The following is a 26,750-nucleotide window of genomic DNA, read 5'->3' on the forward strand; positions in this document are numbered from 1 at the left end:
TTTTTGTCTTGTTACATAGTTGTGATTGTAGCTTATGGAGAATTTTCTGCTCTTCACTTAATATTCTATTATAGTCAGCTGGTATTTTTTTTAGGTTGAGAGACCAGATGACAGAGAGAGTGAACAAAGCAATATAACTGAGAAAAAAGAATTTAGAGTTATTTAATAAGCATCTGAGAATCTCCTAAACTTAGGGACCTGGTAGGAGTTAGTAATGATGACATAAAAGAAATAAGTATTGTTTTCTTCTTGTTCTCTCTGGTTTGAGGGCCAAGGAAAGACAAGAAATGACATGAGAACAATTACAAAACTGTTTATCAGCAAGGACACACAAATACTGAGAGAACAAAGAACAAAAGAACAATCTAAGTCCAGTAAGATTAATTCATGGAGCAAGTGATTTTTAAATAATTATACAAGTAATATATGATCACCATAGAAAAAGTAGAAAAATATAAAGAAGCACATAAAAAGTTAAAAGTATGAGTCTATTTCATCCTCATCATGTGAGCAAACATTCTTATGTCTGTGAAAACCAAGTGTGGATGAGTTTGTAGAACATGAACTCCCATACGCTATTGGTTGGATTTTGAATCACTACAGCCACTTTGGAGAACAGCTGAGGAATATCCACGTAAAGTTGAAGATGTGCCCATGTTATGACCCAGTAGTTTCACCCCTAGGTATATACCCCACAGAAACTCTCAAACATGGACACGGGGAGACATGTACAAGAATGTTAACAGCAACACTCTGTTAGTGAAAAAAATGGCAACAACAAAAATCTCTACCACCAAGAGGATAAATGCTGAAGAAGTATCAAACAAAGAAATGATTTGTATGTATGTTAGAAACACATTAATAATCTGTTTAGTATTATCTACTCTAACTAATCCATACTTGTTTCTTAGGAGTTTTTATGCCCATTGGTTTGGTTTTGCAGCCCTGGATGGGATCTGCAGCAATGGCTGCTTCATCTGTTTCTGTAGTACTTTCTTCTCTCTTCCTTAAACTGTAAGTATGATAGCTTGCTCACATTTGTATTTTGTATTCCTGTTATCATCTAGTCATTCTTGGTAGGTTTTATTCTTGTATTGATCAATGATAAGCCCAAACCATTCTTAATGAGAATTATTATTAGCGGCCGGGCGTGGTGGCTCACACCTGTAATCCCAGCACTTTGGGAGGCCGAGGTGGGCAGATCACCTGAGGTCAGTAATTTGAGACCAGTCTGGCCAATATGGTGAAACCCTATGTCTACTAGAAATACAAAAATTAGCTGGGCATGGTGGTAGACACCTGTAATCTCAGCTACTCGGGAGGCTGAGGCAGGAGAATCACTTGAACCTGGGAGGTGGAGGTTGCAGTGAGCTGAGATCGTGCCACTGCACTCCAGCCTAGGCAACAGAGTGAGATTCCATCTCAAAAAAAGAAAAGAATTATTATTAGCTAACAGTAATAATTAGCTATGTAATTGTTACTTCGTGTACTTTATGCATAGCAACCACAAGCACTGAGTGGGATAAAATATAGTGCACTAATTCTGAGAAGTAGGGTTTCTGATGATATAACTCCACACAATTCGTTTCAAGCTATTTTCCTACCAGTGATCACCTTTATACATTTCATACCAAAACTAAGTGTGGATGAGCAAATCTTCTTTCTTTTCTGCATGTAGCGAGCATCTCATTTACTTTTGGTTATTTGAAACTAGCATACTTTTGCATATGTCCAGTTACAGGAAACCAACTTACGAGAGTTATGAACTGCCTGCCCGGAGCCAGATAGGACAGAAGAGTCCTTCAGAAATCAGCGTTCATGTTGGAATAGATGATACCTCAAGGAATTCTCCTAAACTGGGTTTGCTGGACCGGATTGTTAATTATAGCAGAGCCTCTATAAACTCACTACTGTCTGATAAACGCTCCCTAAACAGTGTTGTTACCAGTGAACCTGACAAGCACTCACTCCTGGTGGGAGACTTCAGGGAAGATGATGACACTGCATTATAAAAGGCCATGGAGAGTGCTGCCAGTTTAACTTGTCATGCACTGACACAGCATTCATGATGTTACCTTCACTTTTCAAAATATTGTAGAAGGATTTTTCTCATGCTCTTATATTAGGGATTCTATTTGAGTTGCGTTTATCTGTTGGCAAAAATATCTTTTTCAAGGCATCAGCTCTGAACCTAGCTTTATTTAAACTGAATTTCCAGTATATTTTTGTTTTCACTAACAACAGATAAGGTAGAGCAGTGAGGTTTACAACAAGCCCTACAATTAGAGATTGCTGAACTGCTGCTAAAGTGATTTTTTTTTTATTTGACCAAAAAAAAAAAGGCCCAAGAAGAAGAAAATGAAAAATTTGAAGATTTGAGAGCATGAAGATATTCATGCTTTTGAACTCAAAATATTGAAGATACTCTCAAGCCTGTATCCCTGCCCCACTGGGGAGCAATGACTTTCAAAGCACTGTGTATAAAACATCTAGTTTTAGAAGGGAAACAGTTGAAACTGTTTAAAAATAGATGTGCCTTATTTATTGCAGGCTTTCTTTCCCCCATTCTCCCTGCATCCTTGTCCTTGCAGGTGCTTTTTTAGATGCTCCAATATGTCTTCTTTTGTTATTTTCTTTCGAGCTAACCAAGTTTAGGTGGTTTTTCATTGATTAAAAATAACTGACAACTGTTCTAATATTTTGCTCCTTTTTAAATTTTGTAGCTCAAAAGACCTTAAAGGTCTGTAGGGTTCCCTGCCTCCCATCTTTCCACTGTTGTAAAAAGTATATCAAATTATTCCTTCAAGTTTCCTAGCTCTGTGCTCAGTTTCAGTTCACTCCTGCCAAGTTGGACTCTAAGTTATTCTTCATGTAGTCTGCTGATCTCAGTCTGGAAACTTAACATTATGAGCCTTTTCTGCTCAAAAAATTTTCAAAGATTAAAACTATTATACATATACAGGTCATATAAAATTACCTGGATTCACTAAATTTGTTTGTTGTTGTTGTTGTTGTTGTTGTTGTTGTTGAGACAGAGTCTTGTTTTGCAGCCCAGGCTGGAGTGCAGTGGCACCATCTTGGCTCACTGCAACCTCTGCCTACCGGATTCAAGGAATTCTCCCTGCCTCAGCCTCCTGAGTAGCTAGGATTACAGGTGCCTGCCACCACACCCGGCTAATTTTCATATTTTTCAGTAGAGACGGGGTTTCGCCATGTTGGCTAGCCTGGTCTTAAACTCCTAACCTCAGGTGATCCACCCGCCTTGGCCTCCCAAAGTGCTGGGATTACAGGTGTGAGCCTCCATGCCCAGCCTAAATTTGTATTTTTTGAATTGAGTATAATCACTTTGCTAGTATATATAATTTAATAGATTTTATTTATCTTTTAGTGTTTCAGATAACCTCTCAAAAAGACTTTAAAATAATGCTATTACACAAAGCTGCATTTACCAAAAAATACAGTAAAATCATAATACAGAAACTAAAATTTCCCTAGGTTATGACGCTTTTTAGCTAAATATATACTCTTCTCTAGTTTAAAACATTTGAACTTGCCTAGTTAGTGTGGTTGGCAAATTTAGGAGCTTGTTCCCATTGCCAAATGGATTTAGAAATTCCCTTGTGAGTGCCTGGTAGCTAATACACTGGTCAGAGATCTGGTACTTGTAAGACTATTTAAATTTCTTTGTTAGTTGCAAGATGGATTTCATATGCAGAATATGTAAATGAAGAGGACTCATAAGTAAATTCCTAACATTTTGTTCCCATTACCAGAAGCAAAGCTGCTGCTAACCCAACATCTGGCACATAGGATTTGTACTCGGTAAATGTTAGTTCTTTTCTCCCCTTGAGGTCAGTAATAAATACAAAAAAATCATTTTTCTAGAGCAGAGTCTTAAAATCAGGTGGGGGTAGGGGATGGAGTTCTTCCTTTCCTACCCCTTTTCTCTTTTATCCTTTCATATATACACATGCAAAGTTTACAACCTTATTCCATGCTGTCTTTCAGATTTAGAAAAGATCTAATTTCTGTCTCAGCTGTCTTAAAGAGAGAACTGAAGCTTTTGATGAAGGTGCTATTAATCTAGAAAGGCAAACCCATTTCACTGAAATATCAATGGGTTTGCATATCTAGGCCCTTTTTTTAGACCAATGCCTATGCCATCCTCCATGCTTTCAGTTTGAGTTTTATTATTTATTATTTTAATTCCAGTGGCCCATCTTATAATACAACTTGTTTCTTCTAGAAGACAGAGCTGATAGGGTAAATGTTGAAAAAAGAAGCATGCCTCCTTCTCCCTCCCACCCACCTCAAGCAGTTGAACACAGCCAGTTATTCTTCCATTATTATGTGTACCTTGGAGTCATCCTCTTGGTCTTGTATTCATATTGTGGGACAGTGGGAATAGCAGCTTGTAGTATTGAAATAATCAAAGAGATAATTTCAGCTCTTACAACAAGAACAGAAAACATGCTAATTAGAAAAAGTCCTGCTTTAAGTAATATGTAGCCACATTTGAATCCTCTACCACAAGTCTTTTTTGCAATCTTGAACTTTCATTAGCTTCAAAGAGAAGCTGTATTTACAGGAGAAAGAGGTGATTATGGAGGGAATCAAAAATACTGCTTTCAGTTAGTAGCTAGCTTTAAGTCAGGAGTTAGTAATGAGAAATTTTATAAATGTGTATTTCTGTGTATTCACATACATATATATATACACACATATATATGTACATACACATACATACATATTACCATACTGAAGGGAAATGGATTTATATTTGAATTTGATATTTGAATATTTGAAGTTCTCTATTTATATTTCATTTATCACTCTTCTGTATTCACTCAGCAACCATGCCCTTAGTCTGAAGATAACAAGGATACTTTAATATCCAGTGCCGGTTCAGACTCACCTATGTGGCACCTTAAACTTAAATATCCAAAGATGCCTTTTGAATTTCAAAGATTAAAACACAGCTAGAGTAGTAGTATTGTAGTCTCAAGATGTATGGTGTGTCATTTGTGAAAATAGAAACGTTATTTTTCCTAGTTTAGTATCAACATTTTAGAATGTCAAATTTGATGCCTTGTGAACAAGTAATTTTATATTGTGCTTTAATTTTTTAAAAAGTATTCTTTATTCATATGTATAGAATGCTTAAAATAGCACTGTAGACAAGATGTTTCCAAAACTTTAAGTGCGCATATCTTTTCTGTATACAGCTTAAAATCAAAAATGTATGTTAAGAGAATTTTTTCTATTACTTATGGATCATGCTTTAAAATGATTTTTCTTGATATTTATTTTACTCCATTTTGTTTTTTTCTCTGGGTGAGGCATCTGGTTACTGGTTATTTTAAAAAGAATAAAGACATTCCTGGAATCACTCCTTTTGGGTTTTTGTTTGTTTTGTTTCTTTTCTACATTTTTAAGTATTATTTTACAAAATAGAAAAAATATAGATTCATGCCAAATTATTACCTATTTTTACACTAACTTTCTGCAGTCCCTCCATCTGGTATGAGTAACCAGATAGAGCACAAAGCATGAGTTCTTGTTCTTCAGTTAAAAGAGCTTCTTTCACAGTGTTGATAACAAATGCCTTTTGTAGCCAAAACCAGGCGTCTCAACCTTACGTTTTTAGTTAAAGAAATGTTTAGCTAAACGTTGTTGAACATTGATTGTTTGGTACCGAAAACAGCAGTGGACGATGTTGTGCAATATCCATCTACTGTAGTTAAGATATTCAGTAGTTTGTTTTTCATAAGCATGTAATTGATCATATTTCTGCCAAGGATGTGCCTTCAACTTTATAATTATAGTGTTGTAAAATATTTTTGTCTGTCTCTTTTGTTAAATCATCCAACCCCCTCTATCAGCAGTTCTGAACTACCTTTGTTATATTTTTATTTTTTTCAACTTTTCATCTATGATGGAGGTGGATTATAGGCATCACTACACTTTCGGTTAGGATGGGAGGGAAGAAATCTATTTTCCTTCGGACTCCACTACACCTGCCATATCATTCAGTGAGGATGAGAAATAAAGGAAGGAATATTATTGTTCTGCTTTCCTTTGTAGTCTCTAATACATTCTTGATAGAATGTCTACTCCAAATGAGCTAAACAGAGAAAAGAGATTTTCTTGCCATTGGGGAGCCCTATACAGAGTGTTTGAAGTTCCCACCCAAGATACATTCCCATACCCGAACACTCCTTTTTGAGTTAAGGAAACCATTGTAAACTTGTGAGGAAAAACTAATTTTCATTTCCCCCCAAATCCTTGGGGTTACTCAGGGTGAGGAGATAGGATGGGAAATGGCAAAATAAGAGTAAAATCCCCAAGGCATCCACTCAGCTTGCCAGCCTCCCTTTCTTATTGGTATCCTGACCTCAGAGAAGGATGTGTACTGATGGCTACCTCCCAGGTGAACCTTCAAAACCTTCCAGATCAATAAAACAAAACAAAAACCTTTCTGTTGGAGAATCCTTGCTAGATTAAGGCATCAAAGTCCCTGCTCAAATTAAAAGGAAATAGAGCTGCATCTTTCACAAATTTGACTAGGGCCAGCCAGCCCTACTTCTTTAACAGCTTCACCATCCTAGATGTGACCCCTGGTTGTACAAATGAAGTGAGAGACAAAAGGCAAGGCTTTTGAAGGTGAGGTTTAAGTGAAGTTGCTAGTATAAAGAGGGTCTTGTGCAGTTTAAGAAATCTGAAAACATCTATACGGTCAGTCACCCTCTGGAAAGTTTGAAATAGGTTGAGTAGTCTTTGGCATACTGTACCTATTGCCCTCAATGGCCCCAAGCTTTCCATTGACATCACCTTCTCTGCCCACTAAGGCCTGCCTATAAACTGAAGTGCTGCCAATACTTCAAAATTATTTGCTTCACCTCACCCAATCAAAACTCCAATTTCTTTTTAAAAAAATCTTAATTGTACATATTATGGGGTACAATTCAGTGTTCTGATACATGTATACATTGCATAATGATCAAATCAGGGCAGTTAGCATATCTGTCACCTCATGCATTTATTATTTCTTTGTGGTGAGAACATTCAAAAGCCCCCCTTCTAGCTATTTTGTAATATACAATTACCTTACTGTTAACCATAGTCACCCTACTGTGCAATAGAACACCAGAACTTATTCCTCCTATCTAATTGTATCTTTGTACCTGTTGACCAGCCTCTCTCCATCATCCCCTCTTTTCACCCCTACCCAACCTCTGGTAACCACTGTTTTACTTTCTGCTTCTATGAGATCAACTTTTTTTTAGCTTCTGCAAATGAGTGAGATCATGTAGTATTTGTCTTTCTGTGTCTGGCTTATTTCACTTAATGACATCCTCCAGGATCATCCATCTTTCTCAAATGACAGGATGTCATTCTTTTTATTGCTGAATAGTATTCCATTGTGTAGATATACCACTTTTTCTTCAACCATTCAACTGTTGTCAGGCATTTAGGTTGATTTCAAGTCTTGGCTATTGTGAATAGTGCTGTAGTAAACATGGAAGTGCAGATATCTGTGATGTACTGATTTTGTTTCCTTTGGAAATACACAGAGTAGTGGGGCTTCTGGATCATATGGTAGTTCTATTTTTAATTTTTTCAGGGACATCTGTACTGTTTTCTGTAGTGGCTGTATTATATTCCCACCAGCAGTGCGTAAGCATTTCCCCTTCTTGCCACATCCTTGCCAACACTTGTTTTTTTAATAATAGCCATTCTAAATTAACAGAGTGAAGTGACAACCTACATAGTGGTAGAAAATATTCACAAACTATACATCTAACAAGGGGTTAATATTCAGAATATATAAGAAATTAACCACAAAAAAACCCTATTAAAAATGGGCAAAAGATGTTAACAGACATTTCTCAAAAGAAAACATACAAATGGCCAATAGGTATATGAAAAAATGCTCAACATCACTAATCATCAGGAAAATACAAATCAAAATGACATTGAGATACCATCTCATTCCAGTTAGGATGACTATTATCAAAACTCCAATTTCTTCATTGAAGTTATTATTACCGAGTATAGGAGAAAAACTGAGATTAACTCAATACATCCTAAAGTGCCACTGACCTTTGGATCTTGCTAGTAGTATTTGCAATAATTTGAAAAGACTGCTTTTGAACCCAAATGACTTCATAATTATTGAAATGAAAAACATCAGGCCATATGGAAGAAGTTATTTGAAGGCAAGTAGACCCCATTATCAGCACTCCAATGCTCTTCTTGCTTTTTACAGCTCATTGCCTTCCACTTTTGAATCCACAGTTTCTTTAAAATCACCACATCCCCATAGTGACGGAAAGAGTGCTGATTTTGGAATCCATCACACCTATTTGCAAGATACCAATTCTGCTACTTACCAGCTGGGTGACTGACTATGTTAGTTTCTTATTGCTATTGTAACAAATTACAACAAATGTAGTGTGTTAAAACCAACTTATTATCTTACAGTTTTGAAGGTGAAGTCTGAAATGGGCCGAGATGGGAGGATTGCTTGTGGCCAGAAGTTCAAGACCAGCCTGGGAAACATAGTGAGACTCTATAAAAAATTTAAAAAATTAGCTGCATGTGGTAGTGCATGCTGTATTCCTAGCAACTTGGGAGGCTGAGGTGGGAGAATCACTTGAGCCCAGAAGTTCAAGATTGCAGTGAGCTATGATTGCACCACTGCACCACTGCACTCCAGCCTGGGTGGCAGAGCAAGACACTATCTCTGAAAAAGAAAAGGAAAAAAAAAAAAAAGAAAGTGTATTAGTCCATTCTTCCATTGCTATAAAGAACTGCCTGAGACTGGGTAATTTGTGAAGAAAAGAGGTTTAATTGACTCACAGTTCTGCAGACTGTACAGGAAGTGTGGCTGGAGAGGCCTCAGGAAACTTACAATCATGATGGAAGGCAAAGAGGAAGCAGGCACATCTTACATGGCATAAGCAGGTGAAAGAGAGTGAAAGGGGATGTGCTACACATTTTTAAACAACCAGATCTCATGAGAACACACTATCATGAAAACAGCAAGGGGAAAGTCTGTCCCCATGATCCAATCACCTCCTCCAACATTGGAGATTACAATTCATATGTGAGATTTGGGTGGGGATGCAAATCCAAACCATATCATTCCACCCTTGCCCCCTCCCAAGTCTCATGTTCTTCTCACGTTGCAAAATACAATCATCCCTTCTCCACAGTCTCCCAAAATCTGAATTCATTTCAGCATTAACTCAAAAGTCCACAGTCCAAAGTCTCATCTGAGACAAGTCCCTTCCATCTATGAGCCTGTAAAATCAAAACCAAGTTAGTTACTTCCAAGATACAACGGGGGTACAGGCATTGGGTAAATACATCTGTTCCTGAAGGGAGAAATTGGCCAAAACAAAGAGGCTACAAGCCCCATGCAAATCCAAAACTCAGCAGGCCAGTCATTAAATCTTAAAGCTCCTAAATAATCTCCTTTGAGTCCATGTGTCACATCCAGGCAACACTGATGCAAGTGGGATCCCAAGGCCTTGGGCATCTCTGCCCCTGTGGCTCTTTAGGGTACAGTCCCCAGAGCTGCTTTCACAGGCTGGCATTGAGTGCCTGCAGCTTTTTGAGGTACACAGTGCAAGCTGTCAGTGAATCTACCATTCTAGGGTCTGAGGATGGTGACCTTCTTCTCATAGTTCCACTAGGCAGCACCCCAATGGGGACTCTATGTGGGGGCTCCAACCCCACATTTCCCCTTTGCACTGCCCTAGTAGAGGTTCTCCATGAGGGTTCCACCCCTGGAGCAGACTTCTGGCTGGACATCCAGGCATTTCCATACATCCTCTGAAATCTAGGCAGAGGCTGCCAAGCCTCAACTCTTTCCCACTATGCATCTGCAAGCATAACACCACATAGAAGTGACTAAGGCTTGAGGCTTGTACCCTCTGAAGCAATGGCCTGAGCTGCACCTTGGCACCTTTTAGCTATGGCTGGTGCTAGAATGACCACAATGCAGGGTGCCATGTCCTGAGTTTGCATGCACAGTGCAGTGAGGCCCTGGGCCTGGCTCACAAAACCATTTTTCCCTCCTAGGCCTCCAGGTTTGTGAGGGGAGGGGCTGCTGCAAAGGTCTCTGAAATGTCTTCAAGGCGTTTTCCCCATTGTCTTGGATATTAACATTCAGCTTCTCTTTACTTATGCAAATTTCTGCAGCTGGCTTGAATTCCTCCCCAGAAAATGGGTTTTTCTTTTCTACCACATGGTCAGGCTGCAAATTTTCCAAACATTTATGCTCTGCTTTCTTTTTAAATATGTTCCAGTTTCAGATTATCTCTTTGGTCATGCATATGACCATATGCTGTTAGAAGGAGCCAGGCCAAATTAATATGGTTTAGCTGTGTCCCCACCCAAATCTCATCTTGAATTATAATCCCCTTAATCCCCACATGTCATGAGAGGGACCTGGTGGGAGGTAATTGAATCATGGGGCAGTTCCCCCATGCTGTTCTCATGATAGTGAGTGAGTTCTCATGAGATCTGATGGTTTTATAAATGTTTGGCATTTTCCCTGCTGGCACTCATTCTTTTTCCTGCTGCCTTGTGAATAGGTGCCTCCCACTATGATTGTAAGTTTCCTGAGGGCTCCCTAGCCATGCAAAACTGTGAATCAATTAAACCTCTTGTCTTTATAAGTTACCCAGTCTCAGGTATTTATTCATAGCAGCATGAGGGTGGACTAATACACACATCTTGAACATTTTGCTGCTTAGAAGTTTCTCCTGCCAGACACCTTAAATCATCACTCTCAAGGTCAAAGTTCCACAGATTCCTAGAGCAGGGACACAATATCAACAGTCTCTTTGCTAAAGCATAGCAGGAGTGACCTTTATTCCAGTTCCCAATAAGTTCCTCTTCTCCATCTGAGACCAACTCAGCCTGAACTTCATTATCCATATCACTATCAGCAGTTTGGTCACAACAATTTAACAAGTCTCTGGGAAGTTCCAAACTTTCCCTCATCATTCTCTCTTCTTCTGAGTCCTCCAAACTGTTCCAACCTCTGCCCATTATCCAGCTCCAAAACCACTTCCACATTTTCAGGTATCTTTATAGCAATGCCCCACTCCTGGGTACCAATTTTTTTGTATTAGTCCGTTTTCACATTGCTATAAAGAACTACTTGAGACTGGGTAATTTGTAAAGAAGACAGGTTTAATTGACTCAAAGTTCCACAGGCTGTACAGGAAGCATGGTTGGGGAAGCCTCAGGAAACTTAAAATTATGTTGGAAGGTGAAGAGAAAGCAAGCATGTCTTACATGGTGGGAACATGAGAAAGAGAGTAAAGAGGGAGGCGCTACACACTTTTAAAGAACTGCATCTCATTAGAACTCACTATCACGAGAACAGCAAGGGGGAGGTCCGTTCCTATGATCCAATAACCTCTCACCATGTTCCTCCTCCAACACTGGAGATTACAATCTGGACATGAGATTTGGGTGGGGACACAAATCCAAGCATATCAGAAAGCAAAAGAGCCTTACTTCTGATATGGAGTAAATTTGAATATTTTAGTTGTCTGGATAGAAGATCAAACTAGCCACAACATCCCCTTAAGCCAAAGCCTAATCCACAGCAAGACCCTAAGTCACTTTGATTTCATGAAGGCTGAGAGAGGTGAGGGACCTGCTCAAAAAAAATGGGAAGCTATCCAAGGTTGATTCATGAGGTTTGAGGAAAGAAGTCATCTTTATAACATAAAAGTGCAAGGTGAGGCAGCAAGTGCTGATGAAGAAGCTGCAGTAAGTTGTCCAGAAGATGATGAAAGTGAATACACTAAACAACAGATTTTCAATGTACACAAAACAGCCTTCTATTGGAAGAAGATGCCATCTAGGACTTTCATAGCTACAGAGGAGAAGTCAATCCCTGGCTTTAAAGCTTTAAAAAGAGAGTCTGACTCAATTGTTGGGTGATAAAATGTAGCTGGTGATGTTAAACTGAAGCCAATGCTCGTTTACCATTCTGAAATCCTAGGGTTCTTAAGAGTTATGCTAAATCTACTCTGTCTGTGCTCTATCAATAGAACTACAAAGCCTGGATGATAGCACATCTGTTTATAGCATGGTTCACTGAATATTTTAAACCCACTGTTGAGATCTGCTGCTCAGAAAAATAGATTCCTTTCAAAATATTATTGTTTCTTGACAATGCATGTAGCCATGTAAGAGCTCTGACAGGGAAGTACAAGGGAATTAATGGATTGATGTGGGATGCAATATACAACAGAAAGCATGTGGTTCTACTAGCTTTCATACATGTAAACAACACCGGAATGAGTATACCAAATAGTTCTATCACCCCAAAAAACTCCCTGATTTTATCCCTCTGTCACACCTTCCTTTATATGTAAGCTCTGGTAATCACTGATCTGTTTTCTGGCCTTATAGTTTTATCATTTCAAGAATGTCATATAAATAGAATCATATAGTGTGTGTAATGTTTTGAGGCTAACTTATTTAATTCAGCATAATGCTCTTGACATCCATTAAATTTGTTATGCCTATTAACGGCTCTTTCCTTTTTATTGCTGAGTGTTAATTCATTGAATAGATTTCCACCATTTGTTTAGCCATTCGCTCACTGAAGGACATTTGGGTTGTTTCCAGTTTTTGGCAATTATGATTAGAACCCCTATACACATTTGGGTACAGATTTTTTTTCTGAAGATAAGTTTTCATTTTTCTAGGGATGTGGTTCTTCACTGGGGACTATTTTGCCCCCACCAAGGGATATTTGACAATATCTAGAGACTTGGGGTGGGGGCAGTGCTACTGGCCTCTAGTGGATAGAGGCTAGGGATGCTGCTAAACATTCTACAGTGCATGGGTCTGTGTATTAGTCTGTTCTTACAGTGCTATAAGGAAATATCTGAGACTGGGTAATTTATAAAGCAAAGAGGTTTAATTGACTCACAGTCCAGCATGGCTGGGGAGGTCTCAGGAAACTTACAATCATGGTGGAAGGTGAAGGGGAAGCAGGTACGTCTTACATGGCAGAAGGCGAAGGAGAAGCAAGATATCTTCTTCACAAGGTGAAGGATGGTAGGTAGGAAGGAAAAGGACCACAGGAGGAAATACCTAGCACTCATAAAACCATCAGATCTTGTGAGAACTCACTATCATGAGAACAGCATGGGGGTGTGAACCCTGAAAATTTGAGACAGGTCTCAGTTAATTTAGAAAGTTTATTTTGCCAAGGTTGAGGACACACCTGTGACACAGCCTCAGGAAGTCCTGATGACATGTGCCCAAGGTGGTCAGGGAACAGCTTGGTTTTATACATTTAGGGAGAAATGAGACATCAATCAATATACGTAAGGAGTACATTGATTCCATCTGGAAAGGCGGTACAACTTGAAGCAGAGGTAGGAAGACTGGAAGGGGGAGGGAGCTTCCAGGTGACAGGTAGGTGATACACAAATGGTTACATTCTTTTGAGTTTCTGATTAGCCTTTCTAAAGGAGGCAAATCAGATATACATCTATCTCAGTGAGCAGAGGAGTGACTTTGAATAGAATGGGAGGCAGATTTCCCCTAAGCATTTTCTTTTTTTTTTTTTTTTTTTTTTTATTATACTCTAAGTTTTAGGGTACATGTGCACATTGTGCAGGTTAGTTACATATGTATACATGTGCCATGCTGGTGCGCTGCACCCACTAACGTGTCATCTAGCATTAGGTATATCTCCCAATGCTATCCCTCCCCCCTCCCCCGACCCCACCACAGTCCCCAGAGTGTGATATTCCCCTTCCTGTGTCCATGTGATCTCATTGTTCAATTCCCACCTATGAGTGAACATGGGAGAAAATTTTCGCAACCTACTCATCTGACAAAGGGCTAATATCCAGAATCTACAATGAACTCAAACAAATTTACAAGAAAAAAACAAACAACCCCATCAAAAAGTGGGCGAAGGACATGAACAGACACTTCTCAAAAGAAGACATTTATGCAGCCAAAAAACACATGAAGAAATGCTCATCATCACTGGCCATCAGAGAAATGCAAATCAAAACCACTATGAGATATCATCTCACACCAGTTAGAATGGCAATCATTAAAAAGTCAGGAAACAACAGGTGCTGGAGAGGATGTGCAGAAATAGGAACACTTTTACACTGTTGGTGGGACTGTAAACTAGTTCAACCATTGTGGAAGTCAGTGTGGCGATTCCTCAGGGATCTAGAACTAGAAATACCATTTGACCCAGCCATCCCATTACTGGGTATATACCCAAAGGACTATAAATCATGCTGCTATAAAGACACATGCACACGTATGTTTATTGTGGCACTATTCACAATAGCAAAGACTTGGAACCAACCCAAATGTCCAACAATGATAGATTGGATTAAGAAAATGTGGCACATATACACCATGGAATACTATGCAGCCATAAAAAATGATGAGTTCATGTCCTTTGTAGGGACATGGATGAAATTGGAAACCATCATTCTCAGTAAACTATCGCAAGAACAAAAAACCAAACACCGCATATTCCCCTAAGCATTTTCTAGCTTGAGTTTTCCTTAGTGATCCTGGGGGCCCAAGATATTTTTCTTTCACAGGGGAAACAGCCCCATGATTCAGTTACCTCCAGCTGGCCTCTCCCTTGCCACGCAGGGATTATAGGGACTACGGGGATTACAATTCAAGATAAGATTTTGGGTGGGGACACAGCCAAACCTTATCAGTCTGCGTCCCACAACAATGAGTTAGCCGGCCTGAGATGTCAGCAGTGCCAAGATTGAGAAACCCTGGGTAAATACCCAGGAGTACAATTGCTAGATCACATGGAAAGTATATGTTTATAAGAAACACCCTGTTTTTCAGGGTGGCTGTACCATTTTACATTTCCACCAATGCTATAGAAGAGTTCTAGTTGCTTCACATCTTTACCAGCAAACTAAGATGTTTTAAATAGATGTGTAGCAGTATCTTATTTGTGCCACTTTTTAAGGGTAAGAAAACATTCCCAGAAGCCCAAGAAGAATCCACCTGGTGTCTTATTGGTCAGAATCACATCACATACCTATTCCTAAGCAAATCGCAAGCAAGGAGAATGGAATTATTATTCACCATCTAGAGGACATGCTCTCTGGGGCTTCCTATCTAATTTCTTTATGTCTTCCCTTTATTTTCTCATGAAATAAAACAAAAAAGTACTACTTACAAGAAATCCCATACCTTGATCCTGTTCTTGAAAGACCATGCAGTGACACCTTCATTGTCAGTGGATTCAATAGGGGAGAAGTAAAGAAGAGGTCATTTCCCACACCCATTTCTGTTTCCAGGAAGAGTTATCGCAGTACCATAAATAAATCAATCCTCAATCTGCCATTTTCCCTTCTTCTTCCTCCCTCCAGGTATTTCTCCAGTAGGGCAGACTGGGAAATTAGATGGCCTCATCTCAGACCCAGGAGAGGGAGGAGGGAGTTGTCTACTGATTAAGCATCTGACAAAAATAGAATTCATTTTATTATTTTAGGGAGATAAAACAGTGCATTCAAATAAATGTTTCTTCTTTGTGGCATCAGACTTCATTGGTTTATAGGCTGTGCTTGGTTGGAAGAATGTGCAATTCTGAGAGTGTCCAGTTCAGCATTCTGGTATATTCACCTGCAAAAAATAGCACTCACTAGCACTTGAAGTTATTTCATAAATTACTTACAAAATGGGCTAAAGTATGGCTGGCTTTCACTTCAACCTTTCTTGGTAACTTAATTGGGAGAACTAAGCACAAATGGTTTCTAGAAGAAAATTCATAAAGAAGTCGTCTCTGAGTGGCAAAGAAGGGGAGGATATCTTACTGGTAAGCTTCTAAAGACCTTTTCATGAATGAAAGTCTGATAGGGAATAGTATTCCCAGAACAATTAATGAAAAGACAGTTTTAGGAGTGGTATCACTTAGTGTGACTGTAATTGTTTTAAAAAAAGTTTGCGGTTTTCTAAATTGTCTCAGCCAAAACAAGTAATTTTTTTTAAGGCATAGGCCTCAAAGCATATCCAGAGTGTTCAGAAAAGCTGGCAGTGCCATGAGCAAGAGAGATCCAGGTTCCCAAAGAGAAGAATGCACTAGCCTAACCCACCAGCAGACAGTACATTGGATCAACAGAAGCCACATAGGAGCTTGGACGAATGGGGCATGCCATAACAGCTCTGCTCCTCACTGGCTAGGTGTCCTTGAGCCACTTAATCATTCCACGCCTTAGTTTCTTCATCTAAAAACTGAGACAGTGATAATATTTACCACATAGAGTTGTTTGTTACCTGGGTAAATGCATATAAAGCACTTATTACAATGTCTGGTACGATATATGTGCTATACTTTTCACTATTAGCTATTATAATTATTAGAAAACAAGAGAGGATACATAGTATGAGCAAGAGTGTTAAAAAGCTAAAAGAGAGTCCCTCTCCCACCCCTAATGAGGACACTGCCACAAATCTCATGGATCCTGGTAGAGAATGTCTCCTCATCCACAAACAAAAGACCTTGTCTGGGGGTAGCTCACCTCCTCCCCATTATGAAGTTATTGCAGAATATATGATTCCATCTTCATCTCTTTTTTTGAACTACACCTTTACTAAAACCTTGTGGCTCCAGTGCTTAAAAGTGGGCTGGGCACAGTGGCTCACACCTGTTATCCCAGCACTTTGGGAGGCTGAGGCAGGTGGATCACCTGAGGTTAGGAGTTTGAGACCAGTTTGGCCTACAGGGTGAAACCCCGTCTCTACTAAAAATAGAAAAATTAGCCAGGCATCGTGGTGAGCACCTGTAATCCCAGCTACTTGGGAAGCTGAGGCAGGAGAATCGCTTGAACCCGGGAGGCAGAGGTTGCAGTGAGCCGAGATGGTGCCATTGCACTCCAGCCTGGGTAACAAGAATAAAACTGTCTCAAAACAAAAACAAAAACAAAACAAAACAAAACAAAACAAACAAACAAACAAAAAAACCCAGGCCGGGTGCCCTCACGCCTGTAATCTCAGCACTTTGGGAGGCCGAGACGAGCAGATCACCTGAGGTCAGGAGTTCAATACCAGCCTGGTCAACATGGTGAAACCCTGTCTCTACTTAAAAAAAAAAAAAAATAGCTGGGTGTGGTGGGTGGCACCTTTAATGCCAGCTACTCAGGAGGCTGAGGCAGGATAAGCACTTGAACCCGGGAGGCGGAGGTTGCAATGAGCCAAGATTGTGCCGCTGCACTCCAGCCTGGGAGACAGATCGAGACTCTGTCTAAAAAAAAAAAAAAAAAAAAAAAAATGTGAGGAGCACTGGGCTATCAAAGGGAGGTGCATCCCCAAGTTTCTGGAGGGTGACATACCTGGTAGAAGGCAATTTTGGTCCCTGATACAATAGAGATATGTGAAGGTTAAACTACCAAGACCTGGCTAGAAATTTCTCAGTTCTGCCAAGGGCTGGCCCTGTAACTGGGTTTTTGTGTGTTTCTTCTTCCCTCTATATAGTAGTTGTCTCAAATCAGTTGTTGATTGCATGGCAGTTTAAGGATTCAGTCTCCTCGCAAGCTTCTCTTGGGGATAATTTTAGGGGAAAAAACAAATTCTGTACCCTAAACCAAACTAAATGTGGACAAAATGGAAAATCTCTTCAGATAGGCAGCCAAATTTGTGGTAGAATTAAAGGGTCAGATGGGAAAGGAGTAAGGTGAGACAGCCTGGTCACAAGACTTGAACACAGCTGGAACCTAGAGGTAAAAGTAGCACACTGGTTTCAGGAAGGAAAGAGGGGAAGACAGGCCTCTCTCTACCAGTCAACTGTGCAATTCTAGGCACATTTGCTGGAACTGCTCCCAAAACAGGGCCTGAACCAGCTGAGCAACCCCAAGAGCTTCCAGGGAGCAAGAAATCTGGAGGAATCTGTAATGGGCAGAAGGTGAAATCTCATTAGAAACCTGTTTGCTTTTGTAACACATGACAAGCAGGATTTTGACACTTGCGAAGAAGCTCCCCAGAGCCTGGAGAAAAAGATGAAATCTGAAAAGGAAGAGAATGCTTCTTGCCTTTGGCCACATGTCCTAAGAGGTGTCTGAAGAGATATGTGAATCAATCATCTTGATTGCTGATTGATATGTGAGAGCAACCATCATAAGGCTTTGAAGATTCCCAAGAGAAGGTCCTTATTTTAGAAAAAATCTGACTACAGAAGGAGGAACAACAGGAACGTGTACCAAGTGTACTGTATTAGTCAGGGTTCCCTATAGGGACAGAACTAATAGGATATATATATATATATCTGAGTTTATTAACTTACGTGATCACAAGGTCCCACAATAGGCTGTCTGCAAGCTTGAGGAGAAAGGAGAGCCAGTCTGAGTCTCAAAACTGAAGAACTTGGAGTCCAATGTTTGAAGGCAGGAAGCATCCAACACAGGAGAAAGATGTAGGCTGGGACACTAGACCAGTCTTGCCTTTTCACATTTCTCTGCCTGCTTTATATTCACTCGCAGCTGATTAGATTGTGTCCACCAGATTAAGGGTGGGTCTGCCTTCCACAGCCCACTGATTCAAATGTTAATTTCCTTTGGCAACACCCTCGCAGACACACCCAGGATCAATACTTTGCCTCCTTCAATCCAATCAAGTTGACACTCAGTATTAACCATCACATGTACCAAGAGCTTCTAACAGGTATGTTGTTTTCCTTGACTCTTGATTGCATCCCAGCAATATACAGGGCATTATGGGAAGAAGTCCTTGGTTTCTCAGAATGGTACCAAGAAATAGATAGCATTGCTAGAGACTGAGGGATCAAGAAAAAATAATTTTTTCTTCAAAGTAACTCACTTCAGAAATTCCACCATAGACACTGGCATTACATAGAGGCAGACAAGCATTTATTTTAATATTGCCCAATAAGCCTCTGATCCCTGATACTTATACCTTTCTGCCCATACCCAGCAGCTTAAGCATTTCTTAAGAGTTTGAGGTCCCCACATACATCCCAAGATGGGTGTTGCCGTAACTACTGTGCAAAATCTGCTATACAAGTTATTATAATGCTTTAAAAATGTAATTCCAAGCTCAGTCTAATAAACTCTCTAAGACAGCATATACAAGTTTAGGGTTAATTTCCATTTTGACCACTGCAGTCATTCTTGATTGGGTTTCACCACACCTCAGATATGCCAGGAGCAGGCAGTTAAAAGGAGCAGGTAGAATTCTACACAGAACTCTGGGCTCAAATTACCCACAGTCTATGCAGTAGCCTTTGGGGAACAGGCATCAAGTTCTGTTTTGCACCACCTCTGCTGAGGTGGTAAGAGCACTGGATTTGAGGTCAGGAGGCTTGGATTTGAATTTCAGTCATACATACCCTCTTGGTAACTGGGTTCTTGTCAAGTGTCCAGGAAGAATCAGGTCACATGGACTTGAAGAGTGTTGAATGTGAAGACTTTATTAAGCAGTGGAAGTGGCCCTCAGCAGAAGGGGAGCTGAAAGGGGGATGGAGCAGGAAGAAGGCCAGGCTTCAGGGAAGCCATTTGTCCACAGATGGCAACTGCTAAAAGGGCATTATTTATAACGCACATCTTCTGGGGCTCCAGAGGTCATGGGCAACTGCTAGACACTGTTGCAAGCTGGTACAGGATTTGTTCCTGCCAGCATCTAAAGGCACTTGACCTGGCTCCTGCACCCACTCACCTGCGTGCTCCCCCTCCCTCAAGGGGTTTGAGGTCAATTTGAGCAAAATGAGTCCCCCCACCCACACCCTTGCAAGTCCCTTGAGGGAGTCAGGGAACTCTCCTGTCCTCCAGTCTCACTACTTCTCTGGGCCTCCTTTTCTCTTCTGTAAAACGTCATGGAAAATCGTGTGACAAGACTGAAAATTGTCAATGCTAAGCAATTCTGAAGTGCTTTTTCTGGGCATCAAGTTCCATTAGATCCCTTAGACTAGAGTATGGACCCTGGGTCACCTCCTTTCTCATTTCTTCCATTCCCACGCTAATGCTAAATAGTAGCACTGTCAAAAAACTGCCAAGGGTGGAAATGGAAGTATCCATTCCTTCCACTTCCACAGAGAAAGCCTAGAATATTTTTTAAAAAATAAGCTATTTACACTTTATAGCAAGCTTTTTTTTTGAGACAGAGTCTTGCTCTGTTGCCCAGGCTGTAGTGCAATGGTGCAATTTCGGCTCACTGCAACCTCCGCCTCCCGGGTTCAAGCGATTCTCTTGCCTCAGACTCCCAAGTAGCTGGGATTACAGGCACCCACCACCATGCCCAGCTAATTTTTTGTATTTTTAGTAGAAATGGGGTTTTGCCATGTTGGCCAGGCTGGTCTCAAACTCCTGACCTCAGGTGATCCACCCACCTCTGCCTCCTAAAGTGCTGGGATTACAGGCATGAGCCTCTGTGCCTGGCCTATAATGAGCTTTTGACTGAGACTCTTAAAGTCCCTTTTCACAGATGGTATAAGGCGTTATTTGAAGGAATGTCACACTCCTCATGAGAGTGAGTCATGAGTTCCATATGAGTCATGTTTTTTTTTTAAACTCTCACTATGACTCCATTACACATTTTGAGCTTTCCACAGACCCTTATTCTCTGCCCCTGTCTACAAGTTCACAATGCCTTTGAAGGATGCTGGCAAAAGCAATGGGGTCATCAGCCTTGGAAAGAAACTCAGAAGTTCTCATGAGGTATGATAAACCTCGTAAGTGTGACAAGATGAGGTTTCTGATCTCAGAGTTAAGTTTATCTCCTGCTGGAAAAGTGTTTGATTTGACTGCTGACAAATCTGTGCACTCTGTATTATGTAGGCTCCAGTGAAAGAGTGAGGTCAAAGACTGCTATTCCCTGATGGGTCAGCCCTTCTCTTCAGAAGCCAGTTGTGAAGGTTTCAGTGTTGAGGGGAAAATTTAGCTTGAGGGATGTGTGTGTTTGTGTTTCCCTCTGCTTAAGCTGTGGTGACCTTGGGAGGGTTGTGAGCTGATTATTTTCTGTAGTGATACACAAGGTAGAGACTGACTTGATAACTGAGGGTTGGGGTTAGTTCTAATATCCTCAGCAATGATTTGGTGCAGGGGCAAACTGAGGAGGAAGCCATGGGAATTGTTAGAAATCAAGGCCGGGCCAGGCACGGTGGCTCATGCCTGCAATCCTAGCACTCTGGGAGGCCAAGGCAGGCAGATCACTTGAGGCCAGGAGTTCGAGACCAGCCTGGCCAACATAGTGAAAACTCGTCTCTACTAAAAATATTACTTTTAATGGCAAAAGCCACAATTACTTTTGCAATAACCTAATACAAAAATTAGCTGGGCATGGTGGCGCATGCCTGTAATCCCAGCTACTAGCTGAGGCATGAGACTTGCTTGAACCTGGGAAATGGAGGTTTCAGTGAACCAAGATCATGCCGTGGCACTCCAACCTGGGCGACAGAGTGAGACTCTGTCTAAAACAGAAAAGAAAAGAAAGAAAAGAAAAGAAAAGAAAAGAAAAGAAAAAAGATATCAAGGCCAAACTCTGATAGGTTATGCCAGTTGTTTACAGAGTGTGGTCTCTGGAACCAGTAACATCAACATCACCTGGGAAATTGATGAAAATTCAAGTTCTTGGGCTGCTCTCCAGACAAGTGAATCTACAGCTTCTACGGTGGAGCCCAGCAATTCACAGTTCAACAAGCCTTCCAGCATGATTCTGATTCATGCTATTGTTTGAGAACTACTGGGTTAAGAGCTTTAGTTCTCAACCTGGGCTGCATACCCAAGTTGTTTGTTTTAAAATAGAAATTCTGGGATGGGGCCCAGTATCCCTAGATAACTCTGATGTTCAGGCAGGATTGAGAACCACAAGCACATTCTCTCCTTAGGGGCAAGTTACTTGGGATTATGGGAAGTTTTTGTCATGGGCCTTTCATCTCCTTGTTGGGATTATAGGTTGGAGTTTTAGGATTACATGGAGTTTCCTGGCCCAGGGCCTGTCTCTGTGATGGAATTGAGGCCGAGTTAAAAAGTGATGGCTGTGCTTCTTGATAGAGAAGTTAGGGTCTGTCTGGCTATTGGTCCCCCATCTCTCTCCTCCCTTAAAAATCTAGGCCAGGTGTGGTGGCTCATGCCTATAATCCCAGCACTTTGGGAGGCCAAGGTGGACAGATCAAGAGGTCAGGAGTTCAAGACCAGCCTGACCAACATGGTGAAACCCTGTCTCTGCTAAAAACACAAAAATTAGCCAGGCGTGGTGGCACGCACCTGTAATCCCAGCTACTCGGGAGCCTGGGGCAGGAGAATCGTTTGAACCTGGGAGGCGGAGGTTGCAGTGAGCCAAGATTGCACCGCTGCACTCCAGCCTGGGTGACAGAGTGCGACTCTGTCTCAAAAAACAAAACAAAGCAAAACAAAACAAAACAAAACAAAAACTCTAGAAGGCCAGGCACGGTGGCTCATGCCTGTAATCCCAGTACTTTGGGAGGCCAAGGCGGGCGGATTGGTTGAGGTCAGGAGTTGGAGACCAGCCTGGCCAACATGGTGAAACCCCGTCTCTACTAAAAATACAAAAAGTAGCTGGGCATGGTTGCACACATCTGTGATCCCAGCTACTCGGGAGGCTGAGGCAGGAGGATTGCTTGAACCTGGGAGGTGGAGGTTGCAGTGAGCTGAGATCGCATTGCTGCACTCCAGCCTGGGCAACAGAGTGAGGCTCTATCTCAATAATTAATTAATTAATTAAAAATAAAAAATAAATAAAAATCTAGAAGAAGCAGTTGGCCTTCTTTGTACAGAGGCCTGGAAGAAGAGGTTCTGCAGAAATAGTGAATGGTGGATGATGGTTGCCAAGATACAGTTATGTTAGCCCCTGAACCTTCTCTATTTCAAACTAGGCATCTCTAGTTATTTTAGTTCTTTCACCTTCTCCCTATTATGCCCAACTCCATTAGACACGTGGTATATGACCTTGGGCTTCTTTTGCTTTCATTTCTACATTTTAGAACAGGAACAATGCCTGTTATCACTCAAAATGTTAAGGGGACAGGCAGGGATGAGGGAAGGACCAATGAGGGGAGACTACCTACATTTGCCAATGTTTAAGATGCACAAGACAGTAAAACTATCTCCATTACACAGTGAATTTGTGTGTGTGTGTGTGTGTGTTGGTGGGGGGGGTCTCAACTCTTTATCATACTTGTTTTAAAAGTGATTTAATAGTGTTTTTCAGGGGCAAAATTTAGTTCATTCATTTAAATATTGAATTCTGGAGCAGTGGTGAGATAATACAAACTTGTGTTTGCAGTTAAGCCAATCTGTCATTTCATATCTCCTTCTCTTGGCTTCCTGTCATAATAACAGTATGCTATAGACACTGAGTAATGTACATATACATTTGGCGGAAAGTATATTGAATACAGGTACATATGGTAACATCAACTGCAGGACTGTGTGCTAGATATTTACATTTCTTATCTCACCATATTTAATCCTTACAAAAATCTTGTGAGATTCTTATTGCCTTTTACAGATAAGACTGAGCTTTATGTGATCTGACTTCCCCAAGGAGACACAATGTCAGGCAGAACCAGGATTTGAACTTGGATATGCATGATTTGAGGGAGCTTTTCTTCTTCTTCTTCTTTTTTTTTTTTTTTTGAGATAGAGTCTAACTCTGTTGCCTAGGCTGGAGTGCAGTGGCACGATCTCTGCTCACTGCAGCCTTCACCTCCCATGTTTGAGTTATTCTTCTGCCTCAGCCCCCCATGTAGGTGGGACTACAGGTGAGTGCTACCAAGCCTGGCTGATTTTTGTATTTATAGTAGAGACAGGGTTTCACCATGTTGGCCAGTGTGGTCTTGAACTCCTGACCTCAGGTGATCCACCTGCCTCAGCCTCCCAAAGTGCTGGGATTACAGGCATGAGCCACCATGCCTGGCTTTTTCTTCTTGTTTTTTGTTTTTTGTTTTTTTTTTGACAGAGTTTTGCTGTGTCGCCCAGGCTGGAGTGAAATGGCGTGATCTCAGCTCACTGCATCCTCTGCCTCCTGGCTTCAAGTGATTCTCCTGCCTCAGCCTCCCAAGTGGTCGGGATTACAGGTGTGAGCCACTACACCTAGCTAATTTTTGTATTTTTAGTAGAGACGAGGTTTCACCATGTTGGCCAGGTTGGTCTTCAACTCCTGACCTCAGATGATCCACTCACCTTGGCCTCCCAAAGTGCTGGGATTACAGGCGTGAGCCACTGTGCATGGCCCTTTTCTTCTTCTATGATCACCAGAGTTGTCACTTCCCTGACCCTCACATTAATGCTGTTGGTTTTGAAAGCCAGCCAGGCTGAAGTGAGATCCTTCTGATGGACATATCGATGCAGGGCAAATAAACGATTTGCTCCAGATGACTCACTGTAGCTAAGACTGGAATCTAGTTTTCTTGACCATCTGCCAAACCAGAAAGTACATCTTAGATCAAAAGATGAGGGAGCCTCTTCTTACTGTGTAGCAGGATGAGCCGCAGACAAAACCCCTCAGACACAGGGCTAAAGAAGGAAGAGGCTTTATTTGGCCGGGAGCATTGGCAGACTTGCGTCTCAAGAACCGAGCTCCCCAAAGAAAGAGTTCCTGGCCCTTTTAAGGGCTTACAACTCTAAGGGGTCCATGTGAAAGGGTCGGGATAGATTGAGCAAGCATGGGGTAGGTGACTAGGTGAGGATTGTGAGCAAGGCAAGTATTTTTCCATACCATTTTCTGTGATCTATAGATAGCACAAGTGGTTAGGGTGGGGATTAATCTTTAACCTACAGGCCTGGCCAGTGGCCCCAATCAGTCTATTATTTTTCAGTTTTCACTTCCTCCTTTTTCTTTGGAGACAGGGGAGAGTAGGAGAAATGGCCTCTCTCCTCAGCTGCAGCAACACCGACACTGACCAAGAAAACAAGAAAGGGATTAGCATGTCTCCCCTTCTCCTTAGGTTCTGAAATAGGATTCTGACGTTTCAGATGGGCAAAAGAAGGTCCTTGCAAAGCTGTTCAAATAGCAAGAATGATATGGGGTCATATTATCAGGGACTATAGGTACCGGAGTAGGGAATTCAGCTTTCTTTGGGCTATACTTTTGTCCAGGTTTCTTAAAGCTTCAGCTTTGGATTTCAAAATATAAGTGGACAAAGTTAAGGGGGCAGAAAAGCAATCATAAATATATTTATTTATTTGAAAAGCTTTTACATAGTTCTTACTTTGTGCTAGGTGCTGTTCTAAATATTTTACCTGTATTAACTCATTTAATCCTCATAACAATGTTATGCAGTGGGTACAATTATTATCCCCATTTTACAGATGAAGATATTGAGGCTCTGAGAGGTGAAATGTTTACCCAAGGCTACAAAGTCAATAAGTGGCAGAGCCCAGAGTTAAACCTTTGCAGTCTAGCTCCAGACCCCATACTTTCAGCCATAATACTGTGCTGCTTCTTGAGGCTACAAGAAGAATTCTAAAACCACAGACTCAGAGTTGGAAAGGCAATTAATGGACTTTTAGTCCAACCTTCCAACCAATAGAGGAATCCTTTGTATGCCCTCCCTGCCCTGCTTGAAAATTTTCAGTGTCAGGAGCTTGGTATCTCAAAAGTAGATCATTCCAATATGGATTGTCTCTGATTGTTAAGAAGTTTAACTTAACAATAAACTGGGGAAGCTGGGGAAGAAAATATTCTCAGCTCGTGTTTGCTGAACTTGTATTACGTTCAAACCATTCTATTTGGTATATACAAAGAAAAGGATATACCCTGTACCTTATGGACTCTTAAGAGAAATAAACATTCATATAATGGCTACTATATATGGCAGACTATGCTACATGCTATAATGTGACTACAGTCACGCATCACTTAACAATGAGGATATGTTCCGAAAATGCATTACTATATGATTTTGTCCTTGTGTGAACATTATGGAGTGTACTTACACAAACCTAAATGGTATAGCCTGCCACACACCTAGCCTATATATCATAGTCTATTGCTCCTAGGCTACAAACCTTTACAGCATATGACTGTACTGGATACTGTAGACAATTGGAACACAATGGTCAGTGTTTGTGTATCTAAACATATCCTAAATATAGAAAATGTACAGTCAAAATATAGTATAGAAGACAAAAAATGGTATACCTGTATAGGGCACTTACCTTGAATGGAGCCTACAGGACTGGAAGTTGATCTGGCTGAGTCAGTGAGTGGTGAGTGAATGTGAAGGCCTGGGACATAGTAGTGTATATTACTGTAGACTTTATACACATTGTACATTTAGGCTTTGCTAAATTTATTTTTAAAATTTTATTTATTCAATAATAAATGAGGCTGGGTGTGGTAGCTTGTTCCCGGACCAAACCAAGGGTCGGGCTGCTTATTCTCACAGGCTAACGAGATACAGATGAACTGGGAAAGGAGGGAGTTTTTATCTCTGTACCTGGTTACAGAGAAGGCCTAGAAAATATTGCCAGATCAACTCAAAATTACAAAGTTTTCCAGCGCTTATATACCTTCTAAGCTGTATTTCTACGTGTAAGTGTGCATTTATCTAAAGAAATAAGTGATTAACTTCTTTTAATTTATAACTAAGGTCTGAGTCCTGAAGACCTTCCTCTGGAACCTCAGTAAATTTATTCAATCTAAATGGGTCCAGGTGCTGGAGTGATTACCCTTATCTTGTCTCTGGCTAAATCATGGAGATTTGGGGAGTTCCTTCAGACCCCCAATAA

At 40.9% G+C, this 26,750-nt stretch overlaps 1 protein-coding gene across 3 annotated transcripts in view, besides 2 other annotated features; it reads left to right on the top strand.

Moving 5' to 3' along the window:
- The window catches only part of ATP7A (ATPase copper transporting alpha), a 139,703-nt gene extending 133,866 nt beyond the window's left edge, over positions 1-5,837 (top strand). For all 3 annotated transcript variants that reach the window (NR_104109.2, NM_000052.7, NM_001282224.2), the window contains 2 exons: positions 912-1,014; positions 1,736-5,837. Coding sequence is in view for 2 of the 3 variants with exons in the window: in NM_000052.7 (NP_000043.4) it covers positions 912-1,014; positions 1,736-2,012 (380 nt within the window). In the remaining variant the exon portion in view is untranslated. The remainder of the gene's footprint in view (positions 1-911; positions 1,015-1,735) is intronic.
- Positions 9,926-10,436: an enhancer, noted in NCBI's record as "NANOG hESC enhancer chrX:77309981-77310491 (GRCh37/hg19 assembly coordinates)". NCBI's record gives its function as "activates a minimal SCP1, AML or CMV promoter by ChIP-STARR-seq in primed H9 embryonic stem cells {active_cell/tissue: H9 hESC(primed)}" and the evidence as "EXISTENCE:reporter gene assay evidence [ECO:0000049][PMID:30033119]".
- Positions 20,442-20,731: an enhancer, noted in NCBI's record as "active region_29783". NCBI's record gives its function as "activates an Ori minimal core promoter by ATAC-STARR-seq in GM12878 lymphoblastoid cells {active_cell/tissue: GM12878}" and the evidence as "EXISTENCE:reporter gene assay evidence [ECO:0000049][PMID:35858748]".

The sequence above is a fragment of the Homo sapiens genome, chromosome X (assembly GCF_000001405.40).
Source record: "Homo sapiens chromosome X, GRCh38.p14 Primary Assembly".
In the NCBI taxonomy this organism is placed as follows: domain Eukaryota; kingdom Metazoa; phylum Chordata; class Mammalia; order Primates; family Hominidae; genus Homo; species Homo sapiens.